Genomic DNA, 24,934 nt, shown 5'->3' with positions numbered 1-24,934 from the left:
TACATTTCAATAACTATGTGCTGAGAGCCCTTCTTTGGTAAGGAAAGTTAATTACATACACTTTTGTCATCTTATTTAGAAATTATGGAAGCCTCTAAACTATGAAAATAATGACAACTTAGCTACCAGTATATAATTCTTAAGTTTTTCCACCCACCCTAGCCACTGCTTATCTAGATAAGATGACCACACAAGTTATAATCCAAACTAGACATTTAGAAAGCAAAATGAGGCCGGGTGCAGTGGCTCACACCTGTAATCCCAGCACTTTGGAAGGCCGAGGTGGACAGATCACGGGGTCAGGAGATCCAGACCATCCTGGCCAACACAGTGAAACCCGTCTCTACTAAAGATACAAAAAAAAATTAACTGGGTGTGGTGGCGGGCACCTGTAGTCCCAGCTACTCAGGAGGCTGAGGCAGGAGAATGACGTGAACCCAGGAGGCGGAGCTTGCAGTGAGCTGCAATCACTCCACTGCACTCCAGCCTGGGTGACAGAGCGAGACTCCACTCAAAAAAAAAAATGAGTGTTGTTATTAATTATATTGGGATGACAGGCATAAACCAGGGCTGACCCAGGCAAACTAGCATGAATGATCCACCTAATCATAAACAAAATTCCTTTTTTCCAGCAAATAAACTGAATCAGCATGGAGTTTGCAAGCAGGGGGTGATGGCAGCCACAAGGCTCAGTCAGTGAAAGGTCAAGAAGAGGAAGTTCTCTATCTGGGGCTACTTTAAACATAGTCATGTAGAGATGGAAGGGATGGTACAATCATGTAGTTCAACCAGATGAGGAAGTAAAGAGGAATTGGGAAGACATTATCAGCTTTTTACAGTGGGACAAGCTCCAGGCCTCCTGACTCAGTGACATCAAGCTGACTCTTGGGTAGTCTGAGGCTTTACTGTCAGCTGAGTGGATAAGATCCAATGAACAGTCTATCAGGGGCCAGTCACTTTCCATCCGAGCATCCCCTCCCTCCCCTGAAACATCCTCAACACTGCACCCAATTTGTAGTATTTTGTCCCTCACCCCTTTCCCACCCTTTCCTCTTGAGTCCCCAAAGTCCACTGTGTCATTCTTATGTCCTTACATCCTCATAACTTAGCTCCCACTTATGAGTGAGAACATACGATGTTTGGTTTTCCATTCTTGAGTTACCTCACTTGGAATAATAGTCTCCAACCTCATCCAGGTTACCGCAAATGCCATTAATTCTTTCTTTTTTATAGCTGAGTAGTATTCCATTGTATGTATATACCGTAGTTTCTTTATCCACTCGTTGATTGATAGGCATTTGGGTTGGTTCCACGTTTTTGCAACTGCAATTGTGCTGCTATAAACATGCGTATGCAAGTACCTTTTTCATGTAATGACTTCTTTTCCTCTGGGTAGATACCCAGTAGTGGGATTGCTGGATCAATGGTAGTTTTACTTTTTAGCTCTTTAAGGAATTTCCACAGTGGTCGTACTAGTTTACATTCCCACCAGCAGTGTAAAAGTGTTGCCTGTTCACTGCATCCACACCAACATCTACTATTTTTTGATTGTTTGATTATGACCATTCTTGCAGGAGTAAGATGGTATCACATTATCGTTTTGATTTGCATTTCCATGATCACTAGTGATGCTGAGTATTTTTTCTTATGTTTGTTGGCCATTTATATATCTTCTTTCGAGAATTGTCTATTCATGTCCTTAGCCCACTTTTTCATGAGATTGTTTGATTTTTTTCTTGCTAATTTGTTTGAGTTCATTGTAGATTCCGGATATCAGTCATTTGTCAGATGTATAGATTGTGAAGATTTTCTCCCACTCTGTGGGTTGTCTCTACTCTGCTGACTGTTCCTTTTGCTGTGCAAAACCTCTTTAGTTTAATTTAAAGTCTCAGCTATTTATCTTTGTTTTTATTGCTGGGACCAGTTAGTTTTGATGAAAGAGGGAAAGGTCTCCAGGGAATATGATACCATAAAGAACAGCAGATGACAGGGACCTTCAGCAGAGAGCCTGAGATACCCAGCTGGGCTATGCAAAAGTACTGAGTGTTGGCGAGAGGATGGCTAGAGTAATTAAGAAAAACATAAGAAGGGAAGAGAAAATTTGAAGAGATAAATTTTTCATGGTGTCTACCGTGGCAAAGAGCCTTAACAAAGTCTCCTTGAAAAGCATGAACTCACCCGTGGAGCAAGTGTGGGGTGCTCGGAGCACCCAAGAGTGTTGTTCCTGCCTTTGATTATGGGTAGAGGCTTAGGAATCAAAGACCAGGAATTAATTGTCCCCTGGAAGGCAGGTTCCTGTGTCTCCCTCCAGCTTTTTAGTATTCCCCAGCAAGTCAAGATGAGTTGGCAGGAAGAGGGAAATGAGTTAATTCCAAATATAGAATTATTTTTCTTATTAGTCATGACTAGCACATTCTCTTCTATAAAATGAGCCCAAGAAAATTGGAATGGATATGTCCTACAGATCTAAGAGAAAAAATAATGAAATTCTGATATGAAATGAAATGAAAGAGCCACCCAAACCTCTGTTAACCACCTAAGCCTCTGGTAATGGTTATATAATTTAGATGAAATTATATAATTTAGATAGTTATATAGCTTAGAAGAAAGGATATATCATTTAGATGTTCCACATCTAAACCAGTTTTTTTAGATTCCACATATGAATTGAGATCATGTGATATTGGTCTTTCTGTGTCTGGATTATTTTACTTAACATAATGTTTTCCAGGTTCATCCATGCTGTTGCAAATGACAATATTTCATTCTTTTTTGTGGCTGAATAGTATTCCATTGTGTTTATATACCATATTTTCTTTATTTATCCATTGGTGAACACTTAGGTTGATTCTATATCCTGGCTACTGTGAATAGTGCTCCAATAAACATGGAAATTCGACATACTGATTTTATTCCCTTTGGAAAGATACCCAGTTCTGGAATTGTCAGATCATATGGTAGTTCTATATTTAAATTTTGAGGACCCTGTATAGTGTTTTCTATAATGGCTGTACTAATTTACATTCCCACCAAAGTATGTAAGGATTCTATTTTCTCCACGTTCTTGCCAACATTTGTTATCTTTTGTCTGGTTTTGATTTGCATTTCCCTAATGACTAGTGATGTTGAGCATTTTTATATACCTGTTGGCTATTTGCATGTCTTCTTTTGAAAAATGTGTATTCAGATCTCTTGCCCATTTTTTAATCATATTTTTTCTTGCTATTGAGATTTTTTAGTCCTTGTATATTTTGGATATTTACCCCTTATCAGATGTATGGTTTGCAAACATTTTTTCACATTTTGTAGATTGTCTCTTTACTCCGTTGGTGTTTTGTTGTTGTTGTTGTTGTTGTTATTGTTGTTGTACAGAAGCTTTTTAGTTTGATATAATGAGAAGGTACTTTTATGTCTGCTATTTTGCTCTTTGTTTTGTATATATCTTACGTATTTTTTGTTCCTTAATTAATCTATTACTGCACTCTTCTGTGTTGACTATATATTTTCTAGTGTACCATATTAATTCACTTATTGTTTCTTTTACTATTTTTTAAGTTATTCTACTAGTGGTTGCCCAAGAAACGAAAATTAACATCTTAACATAAGTAATCCTGTTCATATTAATATCGCTTTAATTTCAATAGCATACACAAACTTTGCTCCAATACACCTCTAGTCCTTCCTCCCTTCTCTGTGCCATTCTTGCCAATCCAGTTAAATTTTCATACATTATAAGCCCATCAACACAGCTTTATTACTATTGCTTTATACAGTTGTCTTTTGAAATCAGATAGGAGAAGAGCTACAAACAAAAGTACATTTATAATGTATTTTATATTGACCTTTATTATTTGTGATCCTTATTTTTTCATGTGCTTTTGTGTCCTTTCATTTAAGATGAAAAAATTTCCTATCATTTTTCTAGTAGGGCAAGTCTGCTAGTAATGAATTCTATCACTCTTTGTTTATCAGAAATGTCTTAATATTTCCTTCATTGTTGAAGGATAGTTTTATTATATACAGAATTTCTTATTGGTAGCCTTTTTTTTTCCCATCACTTTCAACATGTCATCCCACTGCCTTCTGGACTCCATTTTTTTTTTTTTTTTTTTTTTTTTAGACATAGTCTCGCTCTGTCGCCCAGGTTGGAGTGCAGTGGCGCAATCTGCGCTCACTGCAAGCTCCGCCTCTCAGATTCACGCCATTCTCCTGCCTCAGCCTCCCCAGTAGCCGGGACTACAGGCACCCGCCATGACACCCGGCTAATTTTTTGTATTTTTAGTAGAGAAGGGGTTTCACCGTGTTAGCCAGGATGGTCTTGATCTCCTGACCTCGTGATCCGCCCAGCTCGGCCTCCCAAAGTGCTGGGATTACGGGCGTGATTTTTTTTTTTTAATGAGAAATCAGCTGTTAATTTTATTGAAGACTCAGTATACATAATAAGTTGTTTTTTCTTGCTGCTTTCAAGATTTGTGTTTGTCCTTGTCATTTAACAGTTTTACTAATGAGTTTAGGTGTGGCTGTCACTGAGTTTATCCTACTTGAAGTTCATTGAGTTTCTTGGATGTATAGATTAATGGTGTTTTTAAAATCACATTAAGGAAGTTTGGGGTCCTCATGTATTCTTTCTCCATTTATTGTTCATGTATTTCTTCATGTATTCTTTATACCCTGTTCTCTTTCTATTCTCTTTCTAGGATTCCATGTAGATATGCTAGATAGTGTCCCATAAGTATCTGGGGCTCTGTTCAATTTTTTTCATTACGTTTTTCTTTCTGCTCATTAGACAGCATAATCTCAATTGACCTATCTTCAAGTTTGCTGGTTCTTGCTTCTGCCAACTCAAATCTGCTGTTAAACTTCTCTAGTGAATATTTTTTATGAGTTATTGTGCTTTTCAACTCCAAAATTCCAAATTATTTTTTATTATTTCTATCCCTTTATTGATATTCTCTATTAGGTAAGATATTGATCTCATAATTTTCTTTAATTACTTAAGCATAATTTCCTTTAGTTCTTTGAACATAATAGCTGATTTAAAGTCTTTGTTCTTTAAGTCCAACATCTGAGCCTCTTTGAAGACAGCTTCTATTGACTGCTTTTTTTTCCTATTTAAGAGCCATATTTCATGTTTCTTTGCATATTGTATAATTTTTGTCATAAACTGGAAATTTTAAATAATATCATGTGGCAACTCTAGAAACCAGACCACCACCCCCCAGGATTGTCTCTTATTGTTATTTTGTGTTATTTCTGGATTTTATTGTTGCTGTCGTTGTTGTTACTACTTGCGTGTTTAGAGGCTTTTGTGTGTGTGTGTGTGCCAAGCCTTTAGGTCTGTACTCCTCACAATGTACAGATGCTGAAGTCTTTTCCTGGTTGGCTTAGTGGTCAGCTAGCACTTAGAAAGATATTTTCTTAAATACTCTAAACCAATAAATCTTAAGCTCTTTGCCAAGGAATTCCATGTGTTTGTTGGGGCACACCTTCAGCATTCCAGCAATTTGCCTTATCCTTCACTTTCTGCTAGCACACAGCCTCAGCATCAGAGTAGAGAGATGCTGGACCTTTTTGATTCTTTACTGGGCATTCACATAGTCCTGCACATGTGCATGGCATTCTAAATCCTAAGGAATGCACCTTTACAAAATCCACCCCACCCCTAACCCACCTATGGACATTGCATTCCCCAGACCTTCCTTTTCAGTGTTTTGACCAGTCTATTGTTTGCACCAACTAGTACTGCAGCCTCAGGCAGCTGCAATATTACATAAATGTCACTGATTGTTTTCAACAAATGCCCTAGGGATCCGGCTTTCCCCATTGAGAGAGCCCTGAGTGGGTAAAATAATGACAAGCCCAGTGTCTTTTCCAGAGGGCTTCCAGAGAGGTCAAAGAGTGACAAATTCTCTGGGAATATCCATATTTAGGAGCTTCAAACCCAATCTTTCCCTTTCAGTGGTTCTAGGTTGCTGCCTTTCAAGCCTACCACAGAGCTGAGGAGAGGAGGATGGGAATAAGGCAAGTTAAAATGCCAAAAACCTCATTATTCTTACTGAGATTCAGCTGCTTTTTTTGAAAACAAAAATGGTTCTCAAATTGTTGTGAGCTAATTGACTAATTTCTAGAATTCTGAAAGGTTGAGTCAGCTGTTTTTCTTGAAAAAAAGAGTTCTCAAATTGTTGCAAGTTAATTTGGCTAATTTTCAGTATAAGAGTTTTATAATGGTATGATTCTGTTTCCTCCTTTCCTAGCCTTTGTGCTGTGATTGTCTTTCATTTTACTTCTAATTGTTATAAACCCCACAATACATTATTGTTGCTTTAACTAGTGGATTATCTCTCAAAGAGATTTTAAATTAAAAATATATATATATGCACTCACATATTTACCATTTCTGATACTCTTTATTTCTTCGCATAGATCCCTATTTTCCTTTGGTAGTTTTTTTTCTACCTGAAAGATTTCCATGAGTGTTTTATGTAGTGCAGTGCTGCTGATGAAGAATGCTTTCATCTTTTATATGCCCAAAAATGTTTTCTTGCCTTCTTTTTTGAAAGATATCTTCACCAGTTGTAGAATTCTAGGTTGGTTGGTTGGTTTGTTTTTAATACTTTAAAGATGCTCCACTTTCTTCTGGCTTTCATTGTTTCTGATAAACGTGTTGTTGTTCTTACCATTTTTTTTCTGTACATAATATGTCTGCTTCCTCAGACTATTTTTAAAATGTTTTCTTCTTCATTGCTTTTAAGCAACTTGTTAATGATATACCTTGGTACATTTTCTTGTCTTTTGTGCTTGGAGTTTGTTGAGTTTCTTAGAGCTTACATCAATTTGGAAAACTTTTTGATGTTTTTCCAAATAACTTTTATCTCCCCTCCCTCTCTTCCATACACACATACAGGCCATTTGAAATTGTCCCACATCTCATCTGTGTTCTGTTCACTTTTTTCCAGTCTTTTTTCTCTGTTTTTCATTATAGATCATTTTTATTTTGTATCTTCAAGTTTACTAATACTTCTGCTGTAGTATCATAGTATCTAATCTGCTGTTAAATCTATCTAGTATATTTTAATCTCAGATATTGTATTTCTTATGTTTACATGCTCAGTTTGAGTCTGTTTTCTGTCCTTCATGTCTCTACTTAATAAGCTTAAGTCTTTACCTTGTTGAATACATGGAATTATAGTTATAACTTTTTTTGTTTTTTGAGACTGAATTTTGCTTTTGTCACCCATGCTGGAGTGCAGTGGCACCATCTCACTTAACTGCAACCTCCACTTCCCAGGCTCAAGCGATTCTCCTGCCTCAGCCTCCCGAACAGCTGGGATTACAGGCGCCTGACAACATGCCCGGCTAATTTTTGTATTTTTAATAAAGATGCGGTTTCACCATGTTGGCCCAGCTGATCTCGAACTCCTGACCTCAGGTGATCTGCCTGCCTCAGCCTCCCAAATTGCTGGGATTACAGGAGTGAGCCACCACGTCCAGCCAATTATAACTATTTCGTTTATTGTTCTTGTCTATTAATTCTATCATCTGTTTCATTTTGAGATCTCTATGTGTTTTTCTCCTTATAATGAATTGCATTTTTCTGCTTCTTTCCAAACCTTGTAATTTTTTTGGATTTCATACATAGTGAATTTTATTTTGTACTGTACTTGATATTTTTTATAAGGATTCTTGGGATTTGTTCTGGATGATAGTTAAGTTTCCTTGAAATCGTTTGATCCCTTCAAGGCTTTCTTTTAAGCTTTGTTATGCAGCAACATAACAAACTTCATTCTAGAGCTAATTCTGTCCCATTACTGAATCAATAACTTTCTGAGCACTTTATCCATTACCCTGTGAGTTACGAAGTTTCGTACTCCGGATGGTTTGTACATTATTTCAAGTGTAAGATCCGGAAATTGTTTCCTCTGCTCATTTCAGGTAGTCTTTTTCTTGGCCTTGTGTCATTTTCTTACACTCAGGTGCTGATTAGTATTCTGCTGAAAACTTGAGCAGAACCTACTGCAGATATTCAAAGCTCTTCTCTCTCTCTCTGTCTCTGTCTCTCTCTGTCTCTGTCTCTCTCTCTCTCTCCTCTCTCTTTTTCACTGTGCAGCTCACTATTCTGTGGCACTCTGCCCTGTGAACTTTAACTGCCTTGGTCTCCCCAGGCTCCCAGCTGTCTCTTCAATTCAGATGATCACTGGGTTCTGCCCAGGTTCTCCTGTCCTATACTGTGGTCTGGAAGTTTTCTCCGGGCAGTAATCTGGGACTCTGACACGGCTCACTTTATTTGTTTTCTCTCTTTGGGGGATCACAGACCAATGTCTAAAAACTATTATTTATATTTTGTTGAGTTTTTAGTTGTCTTAGTGATAAGGGTGAGACTACTCCCTGTTGCTGTAGCTTTGTGGGAAGCTGAAGTTCTATTTGGCTGAATTTGAGTGACTCTTAGGAGATAGAATTGACAAAACCTGGTGACTGAGTGAATGTAAGTATGAGGACAACATTGCAGTCTAGAATGATTCCCCATGGATAGATAATTGCATCTGAATAGTTTTCACTAACTGATTAGTATTAATCACTTGCATTTGTATAGCACTTTGTGTTTACTATCCCCATACTATTGTCCTCTTCTTCACTAGTGAAAAGGAGAGCTGGTAAAGTTAATCAGTAATAACACCCTTACCATTTGCCAGCTATGTGCTGCCATGAAGCCCACAGAGCTGTATATATTATATAAAATAGGTATTTGTGAGATGGGAGAGTTCCTTTGACCCCTTTGTAGGACTCATGAAAGGGGTGGCTCATTTATTCGGCTGCCACACTCAATCCCTTATGGGAGGGAGTACACAAGCGGACGGGTGCAGGAACCAGAGCAAACGAATGCTGGAACAGGCTGGTCCTCCTCTCTGATGGAAGCAGGCTCTGTGTGGGCCCCACAACAGCGTCCAAGCGTGTTACAATGCTCTTTTAGCTTTGCCGTCCTGGAGGGGTTGTCTGTGACCCACGGAGCCCCAGAGGGTGTATGTTTAAATCAGTGCTTTTTTAACATTTGCCATCCGCAGACAGTTAAGTATTAACCAGCTCAGTGGAGGGTCAGGGTGACAGCCTTTTACACCCTGCTCTCTTGGGTGTACAGTACCCCTCATGGTACTCAAGTTCTTGTCCAGTGTGTAGGAAGAATTACGTTATATGAACAAATTGAAGGGTGGTGCATGTGGAGGACTTTTAGTGGTGGAAGTAGCTCTCAGCAAAAGGTAGGGCTAGAAAGGAAGTGGAGCAGGAAGATAATCTTCCCCTGGAGTCTGGCTATCCCGGGCCAAACTCCTCTGTGACCATAGTCTCCAACATCCAGCTGCTGCTTCTCCTCTCAATGTCCAGAAGCTTCTCTCTTCTGTGTGTATGTGTGTGTGTGTTTGTGTGTGTGTGCGTGTGCGTGTGTGTCTGCTGAGTCTGGAGTTTGGAGTTTTTATGGGCATAAGATGGGGGCAGGATGGGCCAAAAGGCAACATTCAGTGGGGAAAACAGAGATAGTTCTCACTTTGGGCTCCAGGTCCAGGCTTTAGGGTGGAGCCCTTGCCAGGGACCCTGCCCTCTTCTACCCAGTATTTCCCTGTTTCCCTGTCTCCCGTCCATATCATTTGCTTCAGAATTTCAACCCATGAAACATCCACAGAACAGTGGAAGTTTAAGTTTAAGTGGCTCCTCTTTTCTGTACAATATCCAGTTCCACCATGCCCCCCAAGAAGAGTTACTCAGTGATCTTTCTCCTTCATTCTCTACTCTCAAAGTCTACCCTCTTCCTTATATTCACCTCTTTCATAATCATTAGGGGATTTTTAAGAAAAATCTTTCTTAAGAACCTCTTTTCTCTTTACTATCACTGCTACTCTCCCCATCCTCTGCTATATATTATATGTGATTCATTAGAAACAAACATAATATTGCCTTGTATCCCATAAGGAGGTGGATATATACCAGTCTACAAGAAAGGGGTGGAAGATGATGGAATATGTGTGGTGGTACTGGCAGAGGGAGAAAGCCAGTCCTGCCACACCCCTTTTATAGTTGTAGAAATTAAGCCAAGGGAAATCAAGTATAAAGTATACACATTTTGAAAGAAACTAAATAGGTATGATAACTGTATGCAATGTGTATTTTTTATTTAGATCCAGGATTGGATTTTTTTTTGCTATAAAAAACAGTGAAACAATTTAAAAAACTTAAGTCATCTCCTAATTTTAGTAATTATTATTGTGATTATGTAAGAGAATGTCCTTGTTTTTAGGAAATCCACACATAAATGTTCAGGGGAAAAGAAACATTATGTCTGACTCTCCAACAGTTCAGAAAAAAGATGCTAGACAGACAGATCAGATTTAAAGCAAATGTATTAAAATGACATTTGGGAAAACTGGGTGAAGAGTATATGAAAATTATATTGTATATTGGTCCATTTCTGTTACTAGAAGGAATACCTGAGACAGGGTAATTTATAAAGAAAAGAGGTGTAATTGGCTCATGGCTCTGCAGGCTGTACAGAAAGTACGGTGCCCGCCTCTGCTTCTGGTGAGGGCCTCAGGGAAGCTTACAATCACAGCAGAAGGTGAAGGAGGAGCAGGCATGTCACATGGCGAGAGTGGGAGCAAGAGAGTGAGGAGTACAGTCTCAGACTTTTAAACAACCAGAGCTCCCACGAACTAACTGTGCAATAACTCACTTATCACCAAGGGGATGGTGTTAAACCATTCATGAGGGATCCGCTCCTGTGATCCACTCACCGCCCACTAGGCCCCACCTCCAACACTGGGAATCCCATTTCAACGTGAGATTTGGAAGGAACACACATATAAATCATATCATATTGCTTTTGCAACTTTTCTAAAAGTCTAATTTTGTTCAAAAAAATGTTATTTTTTTTAAAAAGTATGTGGATCATATTTGATACAGTCAGGACTAGATCTAATTGATGCAGTCAGGACTAGATCTATTTCTCTTGGCTCTAACATCCACTTCTAGTTATCTTTCCTTTACAATATGGTTTGGGAAATTTTTCTCCTAGAAAATGCAGATTGATTTTTATGCATGCCCCAACCCCCCAACATGCACACTTCTAGTCCTTGGTGAGAAAAAAATATTCAAATGTCTAGTTTATTTTTTTACCAATCTTTAGGTCTCTATGTTTAAAAATAAACAGTTCAGCTTTGCCAGTGGCATCTGTTTCTTTTATGCCCTGGGAGGCCATTGCCCAGTGTGGGATTGTTTTCGAGGTGACAGAACATACTCTGAATTTTCCAAGAACTAACATGTTAACATATGGAATTATTTTGAGGACATCTTACAATCTCCTCTCTTCTTTGAACAAACAGTTCTAAATTATCTGTCACTCTGCAAAATCTCATGAACTTCAACAAATGCAAACATATTCAATTTATGGAAGCACTCAGTTCCAATATTTTCTTTATGCATTTTTTCCTTCACTGGGATATTTTCTCCTGACAGTCTTTATGATGTAAGGAACTCTTAGTTCTTTGCTCAAAAAAACAAAACAAAATCACTTTTTACAAGTAGTGATCTCTTTAATCAGCAGCTGACCTCCAGGACTCTGGTTAATTCATTTTAAAAATAGTTTAGAAAACAAATGATTGCATGTATGTAAAAGGCTCCTTACTTAGCCTGAGTGGAGCTATTTTTTTCCATTTTAAAAGCTGGGATCTTTTAGAGTACTCTCTTTCTCTAGCTTCCACAATCACATTTTGTGTCTTTTCCCTGGATGTGGCTGTCTTTTATCTCTCTGACAGCAACAACTTATTCTAGGACAGACTTCATAACAAGAATCTGCTGGTCTTTCCTTGAAACTCTGCTAAAGAAACTGGATTCAAGAGAATCTGCTCAGCAAATTTATGACAGTGGTCCAAATCTGATGGAAATAAAAATATCAATGACCCACTAGGTTGCTCTAAGAAGTAAGCAAGAAGAAAACAAAGTCTAACTTTGTAAGTACTGCCAAAATCTAGAATACTTTACCTTGCGTTTTAGATACATGTAGACACATCTTATCCTACTCAACAAACCCTGCTCCATCCCCAAAATGCTCCCACTTCGCTGTAAATTTTTAAAGTACTGGGATTTTTTTCTGCTTATCTTTGCATTTCTGCAGCAGAAAAGTGTTAGGAGGGATTCAGTAGGGGCTTTTGAGTTCATTTAACAAGAGAGAACTCACTGTGGAAATTAGTGGATCTGCCTTTGCTGTAGAAGAGCATCTTTGAGCAGGATTGGGAGCTTTTTGTTGTTTATCTGAGAGAAGAGAATCATTTCTTGTACTGTGCTTGACCATTCGCATATGTAACAGAAGCCCTGTGAAGTATTATTTGAAAGAAACCCCTGTCCCCAGAAAACACCCTTCATTGGTTGCTGAAATCCTGTCATTAAAAATTTATTTTTCCTTCAACTTAATAAAGAACATCTACAGAAACCTACACTTAACATCATACTTAGTAGTGAGAAACTAGATATTTTCCTGCTAAGTTCAGGAACAAGGCAGAGATGTCCACTTTCACCATTCATATTCAGCATCATATTGGAAGTTCTACTTGATGCAATAAGTCAAGAAGGAAAATAAAAGGTATATAGATTTGGAAATAAATAAGCTGTCTTTGCTCACAGATGACACAACTGTTTATGTAGAAAATTCCAAAGAATCAACAAAGAAAACTTCCTGAAACTAATAAGCAATTATAGTAAGGTTGCAGGATACAAAGTTAATATGCCTAGTTTATTTTTTATTAATCTTTAACAGATACCATTGCTGGTATACAGGAAGTCAATTGCTTTCCTATATACCAGCAATGAACAATTGGAATTTGAAGTTTAAAGCACAATGTCATTTATATTAACACCAAAAAAAATGAAATGCTTGGGCACAAATTTAACAAAATATGTTCTTTGTTTTGTACTCTTCCTCATATAAATCTTATACATATTTTGTTAAATTTGTGCCCAAGCATTTGTGTGGCAGTTTCTTACTAAACTAAACATATTCTTACCTTATAATCCAGCAATCTAGCTCCTTAGCATTTACCCAAATGAGTTGAAAACTTATATCTACATAAAAACCTGTACATAAATGTTTATAGCAGCTTTGCTGATAATTGCCAAAACTTAGAAGAAACCCAGCTGTCCTTGGATAGGTGAATGGATAAACAAACTATGGTATACCCTTACAATGGAATATTATTCCGTAACTAAAAGAAGTGAATAATCAAACCACAAAAAGGCATGGAGGCATATTGCTGAAAGAAGCCAGCCTAAGAAGGCTGTGTACTGTTTGGATCCAACTGTAGGACATTGTGGAAATGGCAAAATTGTAGAGACAGTAACAGGAGCAGTGGTTTGGAGGGGTTTTGAAAGGAGGGAGGGAGATAAGAGAGGTGGCACATGGGGAATTTTAGAGTAGTGAAACTATTCTGTATGATACTCTAATGGTGGATACATGGCATTATTCATTTGTCAAAACACATAAAGCTTTACAACACAGGGTGAACCCTAATGTAAACTATGACTTTAGTTAATAATGTGTCACCCTAATGTAAACTATGACTTTAGTTAATAATGTGTCAATATTTGCTCATCAGTTGTAACAAACATACCACATTAATGCAAGATGTTAATAAAAGCAAAAACTGAGTGGGGAGGGGAAATGGGGAGAGGAGGCAAAAGGGAACTCTGCCATTTTTCTGTAAATCTAAAACAGTTCTAAAATATGAAGTCTATTACTTTAATTTCTTAAAAATTATTTTCTAGGAAATTCAAAGGAATTTTTAATAATTCTCACTTGTAATGTAAAATTTCTGTGAATAATTAACTAACATATTTGTATGCAAATGAGTGGATCTCATTGGTAGTCTTCTACTCAAGAGTCTCTCTGCAGAATGAAAGTTCCAGGTTTCATGAGACCGGGGGCTGCTGAAAGAGAAAGTTTGATTCAGAAAAGATCACTAGGTCAAATGTCACATTTATATTCTGGTTATGAGCTGTCATGATACTAGGTCTCCACAGTAGAAACATCCTCTCTTTTTCACATTTAGGACTATTTCAGCATCTCTGAGTAAGGGGCTAGAGAATTTACAGCTTTTCTAATACTTACAAGTAATGAAAATTCTACTACCTTTGTACTTGGAGGTAACAAAACACATCAGTATGTATCGACAGCATGTATTAAGTTTGCATCTCACTTGAGCAAGTTACTTTAACCTCTCTTTAAAATAAAGATAATAACTATTACTTAGATCAAAGGGTTGTAGTGATGATTAAATGAGGTAATGCAGGTACTTCATGAGGCTTCAATAAAATATTAGCAATTGTTGCTACTGCCGCTATTGTTGCTGTTATGTCTTGCCAATAGAATACTTTCGGGGGAAAATGCCGATAAAATGTAAATTTCAGAATGTCTGATTTTAGTTAGAGGGCTACCTGTGATTGTAGGAGGTGAGGGGCCAGAGACAAGAAGGATATCTGGATGAGGTAAAAAAGAAACTAACAATTTTTTTATCAGCCACTTGGCCCCTGTAAATCAAGCATCATGTGCTTTGTTATCTCAGGAATCCTCAGGCAACCTTATGAGCTAGTCCTTTTTATACTAGATGGAGAAACTGACATGCAGGATAGGTAATTTACCCAAAGTCATGCAACTAGTATTGCAACTCATAATGCTGAAGTTTGAACTCGGGTTTTTTTTTTTAACTCAGAATCATGTGAACTTCCCTGTCTGGCATGTAATGTCACATGGGCTGAGAGACTAGGCTTCTTCATTATTTAGACCAACTTAGACTATCCTTCTTGTGGTCAGTGTCTCAGAAGTGTAAAATTTGTTTAACTGATTTTTGAACAAATAAGAAAGTGATTAAGTGAATAAATTAGGAGAATTAAACTATGCAAAAACACAGAATATTAATGTAAATCGAAAGTGGACTTTATTTTCACACTATGGGTGTGTTTGCCTCAAAGTTGCAGAACTTCTAGAAATGTAGTCATATTTTAAATGCTCTAAGGAACCTCCCTCATTTGAACCTGATAGTATTGTGAAGAAAAAAATTCCTTTTGAAATAGGAACAATTGCCTTATTTATCAGTAGGTTTTTATTTCAATGGGTTGAATTTTTTGAAAAATGAGGCACCCCATAGAGGATTGAGTAAATGGTCCTAAAAGTTTGCTTGAATGTCACTTCATGAAATGAACACAGGTCAAAGCTGGGTCACTGAAGACTCTCACTGTTTCTAAAGCACTTTGTTCTCACCTTATAGAGGCATACACATTGGCTCAGGTAACCAGTTTTGTTTGTTCGTTTGTTTGTTTCTGGCTAAGTCTGTTCCAGGCTTCCATTCAGATCATTCTTTTCTGTTCTCATAAGAAGATGAACATGTTACCTGGTAGAGGCAACAATCTAACTTGAATTTGTGTTTCTGATTAAAACTAGTAATAAAAGGCATTCCTGCTGTCAGAGGTGTCTAAAATGTTGAATTAGTCAACAGATATTTGTAAAGTCGGCTATGTGCTAGACAATAGAGACAAAAGATGTAAAAAGACAATCTCTGTCTTCAATGAACTCATAATGCAATCAGTGAGATGACTAGATAATCACCTTTTGAAGATTATTTTTATTATTCTACAATAATGTGGTAAAACATTTGCACGTAAAATGCCATGAAGAAGTAAGGAAATAATCAAAATGTAAAAGCATTAGTGAGTGGGAATTATTTATTATCTGCGTACCAGGCCCTATGCTCACTAAATTCTTAAAACTACTCTTTGAGATGCATATGCTTACCACCGGCCCCACCCCAACCACACCTTTTACAGATGAGAAAAAGTGCCAGTGCCAGGGAAAGGCAAACCTGGGAGTTCAAACCCAGTCCTACCAATTCCAATAGAGTTTTTCTCCCACAGTAGCCATCATTTTCTGAATATGTTCTAGGCACCTGGTTCTGGAGTAGGCAGTTCAGTATGTCTAGATGGTTCAGGGAGTATGGCTGGATTTGAGCAAACTCAAATGCTTCTCTGAAAAGTGAAGAGTGACAGCCTCACCCCCTGTATCAGTTGATCTGCATGGGAAGCATTGTTGGGGTTGTATGGAGTTGTGCTTTGTTTTGTTTGTTTTGCTTTGTTTTGTATTTTGCTGAAGATTAAGAGGAACTTGGAGGCAGGTGCCTACGGGAACAGGAAAAACCAGGACAATGGAGGGGAAGGCCTGGCCTACTTTCTTTCACTCATCTCCCCACCTCCACTTCAAACTTGAATGGTCACTTTTCATTAGAAGGTAAAATATATTTTTTCCACAAAAGTCCTTGTGAGACTCGAGGCATAAGTAGTGTTGACTAGGGGCTCAGATGACCCAACTGAATCCAGAATGAGGCATGCCCTATAATGTCTGCTTGTGCCCTACAGAGGAGGAGGGAGCAGTATCTTCCTAGTATATTCATTTCCTAAAGCACTTTAACAAAGTACTCCAAATTGTATTTAGTGACACTTCTAATGAACAGAATGTGGCAGAAGTGCAAGTGTGTGACTTCTGAGACTAAGCCATAGAATACATTGTGGCTTCCTCCTTGATCAAGCTGATCTTAGACTTCTGGCTTCCAGAACCATTAGGGAATAAATTTCTGTTGTTTTAAGAAATTTATTTTTAGATAAATTTCTTGATACTTCTGTCTTCAAAGGTGGAGCCTATTTCCCCTCCCTTGACAGTGGGTTGTATTTAGGTCCTACTCTGATAAACCAAGAAAATATCCCCATCTTAATTAAATCTGATCATCTTAATGAAATCTATGCATAAAGACTCTGTTTCCATATAATATAATGTTCACAGATTCCAGGGATTCGAATATATATATCTTCAGGGATCATTTTTCAGCCCATCACACCCAGGATCCTTGTCTTCCAAGGCAGTGGGTAGGGGCCTCATTTGAGGCCTACGAACCCATGGACTTCCTAAAGGGTTCACAAACAGAAGAAGAGGAGCGGTACTGAGTACTGAGAACCTGGGAATCTCCTTGACCTTGGAAAACTCCTGACTGTGACCCAGGGAAACCTTGACTGAGTTGGGGAGTTGAGTAGGGGAGTAGGGTGGGTAGGGTGACTGCCTACAGGAGCAAGTATGAGCTAAGAGTCATGGAAATTTGGAAATACATTTTCATGTGTACTACAGACTGCATGTTTATGTTCCCCCGCCCCCCAATTCATATGTTGAAACCTAATCCCCAATGTGATTGTATTTGGAGATGGGACCTTTAGGAGATGATTAGGTCATGAGGGTGGAGCCCTTATAATTGGGATCCATGCCCTTATAAAAGAAACCCAAGAGCTCCCTCAGCTTTCTACTACATAGGAGACAGTGAGAAGACTATGCAACAGGAAGAGCCCTTATTAGATACTGAATCTACCTGAACCTTGATCTTGAACTGCCCAGCCTCCAAAACTGTGAGAAATAAAATTTCTGTTATTTCTAAGCCACCCAGCCTATGGTATTTTTGTTATAGCAGCCCAGAAGGACCAAGACAGTCTCTACGTATACTCTCACAGACTGATAGAGGCTGAGACATTTGGATGAGCTGTAACCAGTACTTAATGGGGCAAAACGTAAAAAGGTGCAATCATAAAGTAACTTTACTTTCCTCCCTGCCCTTGGCACTAACTCAATGAGTTCGTAGCTGGTAACCCATTGTAACTCAGTAACTCAGGCAGCACCCATAATTTTCTGATTCATTTTGAATATTATAAGTCCTCTGGTCAGTCTCACTCCAGTAATTAAATGTCCAGTCCACTATTTTGATCAACTTTTCATACTTTATTTAAAGCTAAAGCTCCTTCCTTCCTCTGGTTCAGAGCAACTTCCAGCTAAGAAACCCACAGTGAGGGAAAGGAACATGGTCCTTTTTATTTCTCAGACTTGAATTTTTCTCCTTCTCCACCCTCCCCAAATCCTACAGAGTTACTACTGGGGGTGGGAGTAGGGAGAGTTAGGGGAAAGTTCTTACTGGACTAAAAGATACATAATCTGATAGTCGTGCCCTCAGGGTATGGCAGATTCCCAATATTGATTTTTTTCGTGAGCATTTTTCTGGAGTTTCTTCAAGATTCTTCCAGTAGGAACATCAAATGGCAATTCTTAGGTCACCAGCAATCTGACGGGGTGCTAAGGAGTCAATCCTTGGGCCCTCGGAATCCAGCAGTCAACATACAAAGATGTTCCCTGACAGGGTTCATTAAGTCCCTTTTAAGCTGGCTGTAAGCCAACTCTCTCCCAAAGCGTCACCATCACATCCAAAGTAATCTTTCATATGACCAGGCTATGTAGTCTCCAAAAAGGCAGCTTACCCCATTGCAGCCTACATTTTCTCTTCTCTGCCATCTTAAGCTTCTAGAATCAAAAAAAATAAAAAATTGCAACTCTTAGGAAAAAGTTCCACTAAAGAGGAATGTCTTTGCAGTTACTGAAGTTAACTTTTTGTAAAACTCTTCTCCCTCTCTTCCTCCTCTTTTGGTTGATTTCCTCCTCCTGTTTTCAAATACTTGGTATTTAAAACCAGAAAAAAAAAATACAGGCTGTAATTTTGACTTCCCAGGACCCATACTGACCTATGGTCTCCAACCAACAGATCCAGAGCATGTTAGATGGAATTCAAGGACGTCCAGGCAATATTATATCCTCGTCCTCAGGGTGACGGTTTTTCCACTGCCTCAAATCCTGTATCTTTCTTCTGCAGCTGCCCAGCACAGAGTTTTGGTTCTAATAGACACAACAAAGGTGCAGGAAAAGGCACACTCTTTAGTCATCTCTGGGACCGTGCTCCAAATCTCTATCTCCCTACTCCAGAAAGATAAGTTGTTCAATATAATTCAGGGCTTCTAAAGGAAAAAAACCCTAAGTCAGATTTCATTTATTCTGTTCCCTTAAAGCTAATGCCAGTTGGCCTGAGAAGACTCTATTATTTCCTTTTCTCTTGAGTGGCACCAACACTTGAGAAAAAAAGTCAAGTCTATGTAGAGGCTGATGCCCTCAAGAGCACACTTGACACAAAAGCCCTTCAGTGACCTCAGAAACTCTGGTTCTCAGGCCATAGGTCCATACCCCACTTTGTTGAGGAAATGTGTACATGTTAGCCTTTGCTATTTTATGTTGGTGCAAAAGTAATTGCATTTTTTTGCCATTAAAAGTAATTGCAAAAGGCCGGGTGCAGTGGTTCACGCCTGTAATCCCAGCACTTTGGGAGGCTGAGGCAGGCAGATCACTTGAGGTCAGGAGTTCAAAACCAGCCTGGCCAACATGGTGAAACCCATCTCTACTAAAAATACAAAACTTAGCCAGGCATGGTGGTGGGCGCCTGTAATCCCAGCTACTCAGGAGGCTGAGGCAGGAGAATCGCTTGAACCCGGGAGATGTAGGTTGCAGTGAGCCAAGATCGCACCATTGCACTCCAGCCTGGGCAACAGAGCAAGACTCCATCTCAAAAAAAAAAGATAAAAAAAGTAATTGTAAAAACCGCAATTACTTTTACACCAACCTAATGCCTTTCTAAAATACTGACTTCAACTTTAATTTAACCTCATCATTGCAGAGCAGATGGAAATATTCTGATTTCTCTGCTAGAGAAAGTAAAGTTTCTAAACAATGAAAATAAGCAGAGAAGCTATCTCCAAATACAGATGTGTCTTTTAAATAAGAAAATAAGAACTTTTCTTCAGTTCTTAATAATATTTTAAAGCTTTACAAACTGGATAGCAACACATGTTATATGTATTTGTTGACTATTTAAAGATCCATACAGATTTCAAAAATGTGATCCCTGAAAGACAAATAACATATGGTAGAATTTAATATTTATGTGCCTTTATGAAAAGGAATTCATTGTTTTACAATGGAATTTTAATGGGAGATAAATGAGACTTGAAGCAAGACTGAGTTTCTTTAAAATGAGTCCTGGATAAGGAGTGAAGAAGTGGCAGTTAAGAAATTCTAAAATTGAGACAATTTTTAATGCATACTTTAAAAATAAGCACTTATTTGTTTCAATTAGGCCTTCATGATAAAGTACTATTATTTTATAAAACTCTGATTCCTAGTCAGTATCAATATGGAATTATAAAACTATAAATCACAATACTTAGGAACCTCAAAATCACTATGTTTTAATGCAATTAATTAAAAACTACTATAAAACAGAAAGATTTTCAGTTTTTCAAACATATATTTATAATTAGTGAGAAGTATAAGCAATCGTATTAATAACAATAAGCATTATTATTATTAATAAATCTTCTAATGGTGTGTTCCATTTCAAGGATATCAGCCAAAATTGCTTTAGCTAATGTAAATAGCCTGAATTTTACAGACAGAAATACACAGTTTCAAATTCTAAGTTTGTCACTTTCTAAATGTAACTTTGAGCTATTTACTTGGCTCATCTGTGACTAATTTCCTCACTAGCAAAGGAATAGTAATCCTTATTCCACCATTTGTGAAAAATTAAATGAGATACAACTGCACTTCCATTGAAGACAAACTGAGACATTCAGAACAACCTTCCCAAATAAACAGTTAGAAAATAATTTTTAAAAATATTCTGCTTGAGAGCTTTGGGGAGCCAACAAGATAGGGGAGAATTACAGAGCCGAAATCTGGGGCAGAAACCCACTGAAGTAAGCTCAGCTTGGGACCTCTTTTCCCCTCTATTGTATGCTGGTTCTGGAAGCGGATGCTGAGAAGCCCAGAAGCTGAGCAGAACTTTCAACCAGCTCACATGAACAGCAGCACCGTAATGGTGTTCAGAGTCTGTTCTCAGCAGGGATCCTGAATGGCAGCTCCTTGGGAATAATGGTCAATCCAAGTAGACTAGCCTTCACAGAGACTGAAACCCAGCTTCAAATCATCTCACTCCAAAAGTAAGAAATTAGAAAAGAGAACACACATGGTGAGATGAAGAGAAATCAAGCAACGACATAGTAGATTTAAACTCAAGTACATCAATAAGTACATTAGGTGAAAATGGGCTAAATGCTACAATTAAAAGATAAAAATTGACAGACTGGCATACAATATACGTGTATTCTTCTTAATATGGGCCAAACCTAAAATATAAGGAACAGTCTAGAAGTAAAGAAATGAAAAAATATATTCCATGTAAATACTAATTGTGGTCATTTTAAAATAGGACCACAAATTTCTTGATACTTCTGTCTTCAAAGGTGGAGCCTATTTCCCCTCCCTTGACAGTGGGTTGTATTTAGTGACACTTCTAATGAACAGAATGTGGCAGAAGTGCAAGTGTGTGACTTCTGAGACTAAGCCATAGAATACATTGTGGCTTCCTCCTTGATCTCTCTCTCTCTGGATTGCTTGCTCTGTGGGAAGCTAGCCATCATCTCATGAGGATACTCAGGCAGCCCTATGAAGAGATCCATGTGAAGAACCAAGGCTTCCTGCCAACAGCCAGTGAGAAACTGAGGTCTCCAGTGAACAGCTATGTGAGTGAGCCCTTGTGGAAGTGGATCATCCAGCCCCAGTCAAGCCTTCGGAAGACTGCAGACCCACTTGACATCCTGGCTGCAACTTCATGAAAGACTAAGCTGCACCTAGATTCTTGATTCTCTTAAAGTGTTGGGAATAATAAATATTTGTTGTTTTAAGTGACTATGTTCATGGATACTTTGTTAGTCACCAGTAAATAACCAAAAGAAAGCTGATAGAACTATACTAATATGAGAAATATTAGTGTGTGTATATATATATATATACTTTATATATATACATGTATATACACTTATATATATAATGTGTGCCTATATATATATATATATACTTTAAAGCAAAAATGAGAGACATTATGGGAAAAGGATTTAACAGTTACATATAATAATTCTACCTTTATGTCACCTACTAAAATAGCCTAAAAACATATAAAGCAAAAACTGATGGAATTACAAGAAGAAACAGGCAAATGCACATTCATGCTAGAAGATTTAAAAGTACTTCTATGGAACTGATGGAACAAGCAGACAAAAAAAATGATATAGAATATTCGAACAACCCAGTTAGAATTTATGTATTTAAATAACCAACAACTGCAGACCATACATTCTTTTCAAATGCATGCAGAAATTTTTTTAAATTGCTAGACTGTAAAGCAATTCTCAACAAATTTCAAAGGAGTAAAATCACACAGATCATATGTGATCTGATCTATATATGATCATAGACTAATTGATAATAAAAAGATAACTAGAAAATTACCATATGTTTATAAAATACAAAATATATTTCTAAATAACCTTTAGGTCAAAAAAGAGATCACAACAGAAATTAGAAAATACTTTGAACTTAGTGATAATGAAAATATGTGCAGAATGCAATAAAAGTCATGTTTTAGAGGAAAAAAATCTATAACCTTAAGTGTATACGTTAGCGAAGAATAAAGGCCGAAAATCAATAATTTAAACGTCCATCTCAAGAAGTTAGTAAAAGAAAAACAAATTAAAACGCTCAAAAATAGAAGGTAGAACTAATGAAGATAGAAGCCAAAATTAACGAAACACAAAACAAACACATGAGAGAATTTAAGAAATCAAAATTGATTTTTTGAAAGAATAATGAATTTATGAAAGGGTTTGCAATAATCCTACCTGGCTGGGTAGTAATTTAAGAAATACGTGTTTTCTGCTCTGTTTGGATCATGGCTCCAGAGCTGGTGGTACAGAAACAAAATAGATAAGACAGTGCCCTCAAGTATAATAGCTAACAGTCTAGCACGAAGACTAACAGTAAGCAGATGGCAAAAATCTGTGTTACAAGTGTGACAACAGTGGCAAAAACAGGGAGCCATGGGAGTTCACGGAACAGCAGGGTGCTGAAAGATAAGTGAGATGTAGCTAGATGGAGCATTAAAGAAAAGATGACTCAGGAAAGAAACATCAGATACAAAGCAAGACACAGCTGGTATCTTCTGGGACCTGCAGATAGTTTTACATAGCTACAGTGGGAGGTTTGAGCACAATGTGAGAGCTTTTTACTTCCCAAATGCCTCAAATTCATTCACTAACTCTATCTCCAACGCCAAACCCTTTCATAAATTACCACATTTTGCCTAAACTACACAGAAGCCTCCCAGGCAGTTTTCCTGCATGCATTTCCCTGTTTTACACTCCAACACATTGAAGCCAACATGATTTTTCTTAAATATACAACCTCAATCCCCAGCTATAGTTCTTGTAGCACTGTGTAATTTACCTTCATAACATTTATCCTAGTTTGTAATTAAATTTATTTGATTACTACTTATTTAATTACAGCTGATCTTTCCACTAGAATGTTTGGGAATTGGAGATTTATAAGCTCTATGCATTTTGTAAAGCCTTGGTTAAAATTATAGCTGGGACATTAAGTTGCAAGTCAAAACATTATTTCATGAGAAAATAAAGAATAATACCATTGTTATGACAGGTCTCTTGAAAATGTAACTGAACTAGTTATTATTCTTTGTCACTATACAAGATAAGAAAAAAGTTCCAAAGATATTTATACTCCTGTGACCATCAAACATGAAAACCAGAGAACCAGCCAGGTAAGATAAAGTTCACATTTAAGTTAAACATATACACATTTTGTGCTGTCATATTCTGTCATCATGAAATTTTTTTGATAATGATAAGCAGCTTCCCCTGATATTCTTCTACTGTACTAACTACATTTTTTTCTCCCACAGAACATTAAAAAGCTGTGATTATTGTAAATTGATATTTTTACTTTTTTGATGTATTAAACATCAAAACATCTAACAAACATAGTTAGACTATGTTTGGTGGGAAATAGAATTTGGTTCCTGATATGGTTTGAATGCATGTCCCCTCAGAATCTCATGTTGAAATGTGATCTCCAGCATTGAAGGTGGGGCCTAGTGGGAGGCATTGGATCATGGGGTGGATTCCTCATGAATGGCTTAGTGCCATTGCCTCGGTGATGAGTGACTTCTCACTCAGGTAGTTCATGTAAGATCTGGTTGTTTAAAAGAATCTGGGACCTCCTCCCTCTTTCTCTTGCTCCTATTCTCTCCATGTACATGCCAGCTCCCCCTTCATCTTTCATGTGACTGGAAGCTTCCTGAGGCCCTCACCAGGGGCAGATGCTAGCGCCATGCTTCCCATACAGCTTCAGAACTGTGGGCCAAAATAAACCTCTTTTCTCTATAAATTGTTCAGTCTCAGATGTTCCTTCATAGCAATGCAGGTGGACTAAGACAGTTCCTTAAGTGATAGTGAACACACCAGAAAATAAAGTTCCAAAGATATTTATACTCCTGTGACCATGAAACACAAAAACCAGAGATTAAATTAAATTAAATAATTAAATTATTAACTGTGGGCTAACTTATCTTATTCTCTAACTCTATCACTAAGTCACATATGTAAATGATATGCATTCATTTGCTAGTTAGAAAGCATTGAGGCCCTTTTTTTTTGCTTCATACAAGTTTGTTTGAGAAAAATAAATTATAATTCTAAGAGATTCAATTTTAAGTTAATTTTTTATTGGAGTAGAACACATAGAAAGTTTTCCAAATTATGAGTCTGTCATGAGGTGACTCTTCACAAATTGAATATATTCCAGATCAAGAAACAGAATACTATCAGTGCCCTAGGAGCCCTCTTTGTCCCCCTCCAGCAATTGCCCCCCTGAAGGGAGCCACTATCCTGACTTTCAACAATTTATGTTCATTTTTCCTCTTTTGAACTTCATATAAAGTATACAGCATATAGCCATTTAGTTCTTGCTTTTTATGCTTCACATTATATTTGTGAGATTCACTCATGTTGTTGCATATATGTGTGTCTCATTTATTCTTATTTCTATAAAGTATCCAGTTGCATGATATTAATTAAAAACAAATAAGAC

The 24,934-nt window shown here is 37.6% G+C and overlaps 1 annotated feature.

The window, feature by feature from the left end:
- Positions 16,905-17,170: a silencer, noted in NCBI's record as "fragment chr5:32970338-32970603 (GRCh37/hg19 assembly coordinates)". NCBI's record gives its function as "represses an EF-1alpha promoter that drives an FKBP-Casp9 reporter gene in an ReSE screen in HepG2 liver carcinoma cells {active_cell/tissue: HepG2}" and the evidence as "EXISTENCE:reporter gene assay evidence [ECO:0000049][PMID:32094911]".

This window comes from Homo sapiens, chromosome 5 (assembly GCF_000001405.40).
Source record: "Homo sapiens chromosome 5, GRCh38.p14 Primary Assembly".
Classification (NCBI taxonomy): Eukaryota; Metazoa; Chordata; class Mammalia; order Primates; family Hominidae; genus Homo; species Homo sapiens.
The sequence above is the reverse complement of the archived record's forward strand: the minus strand, read 5'-3'. Positions and strand labels throughout refer to the sequence as shown.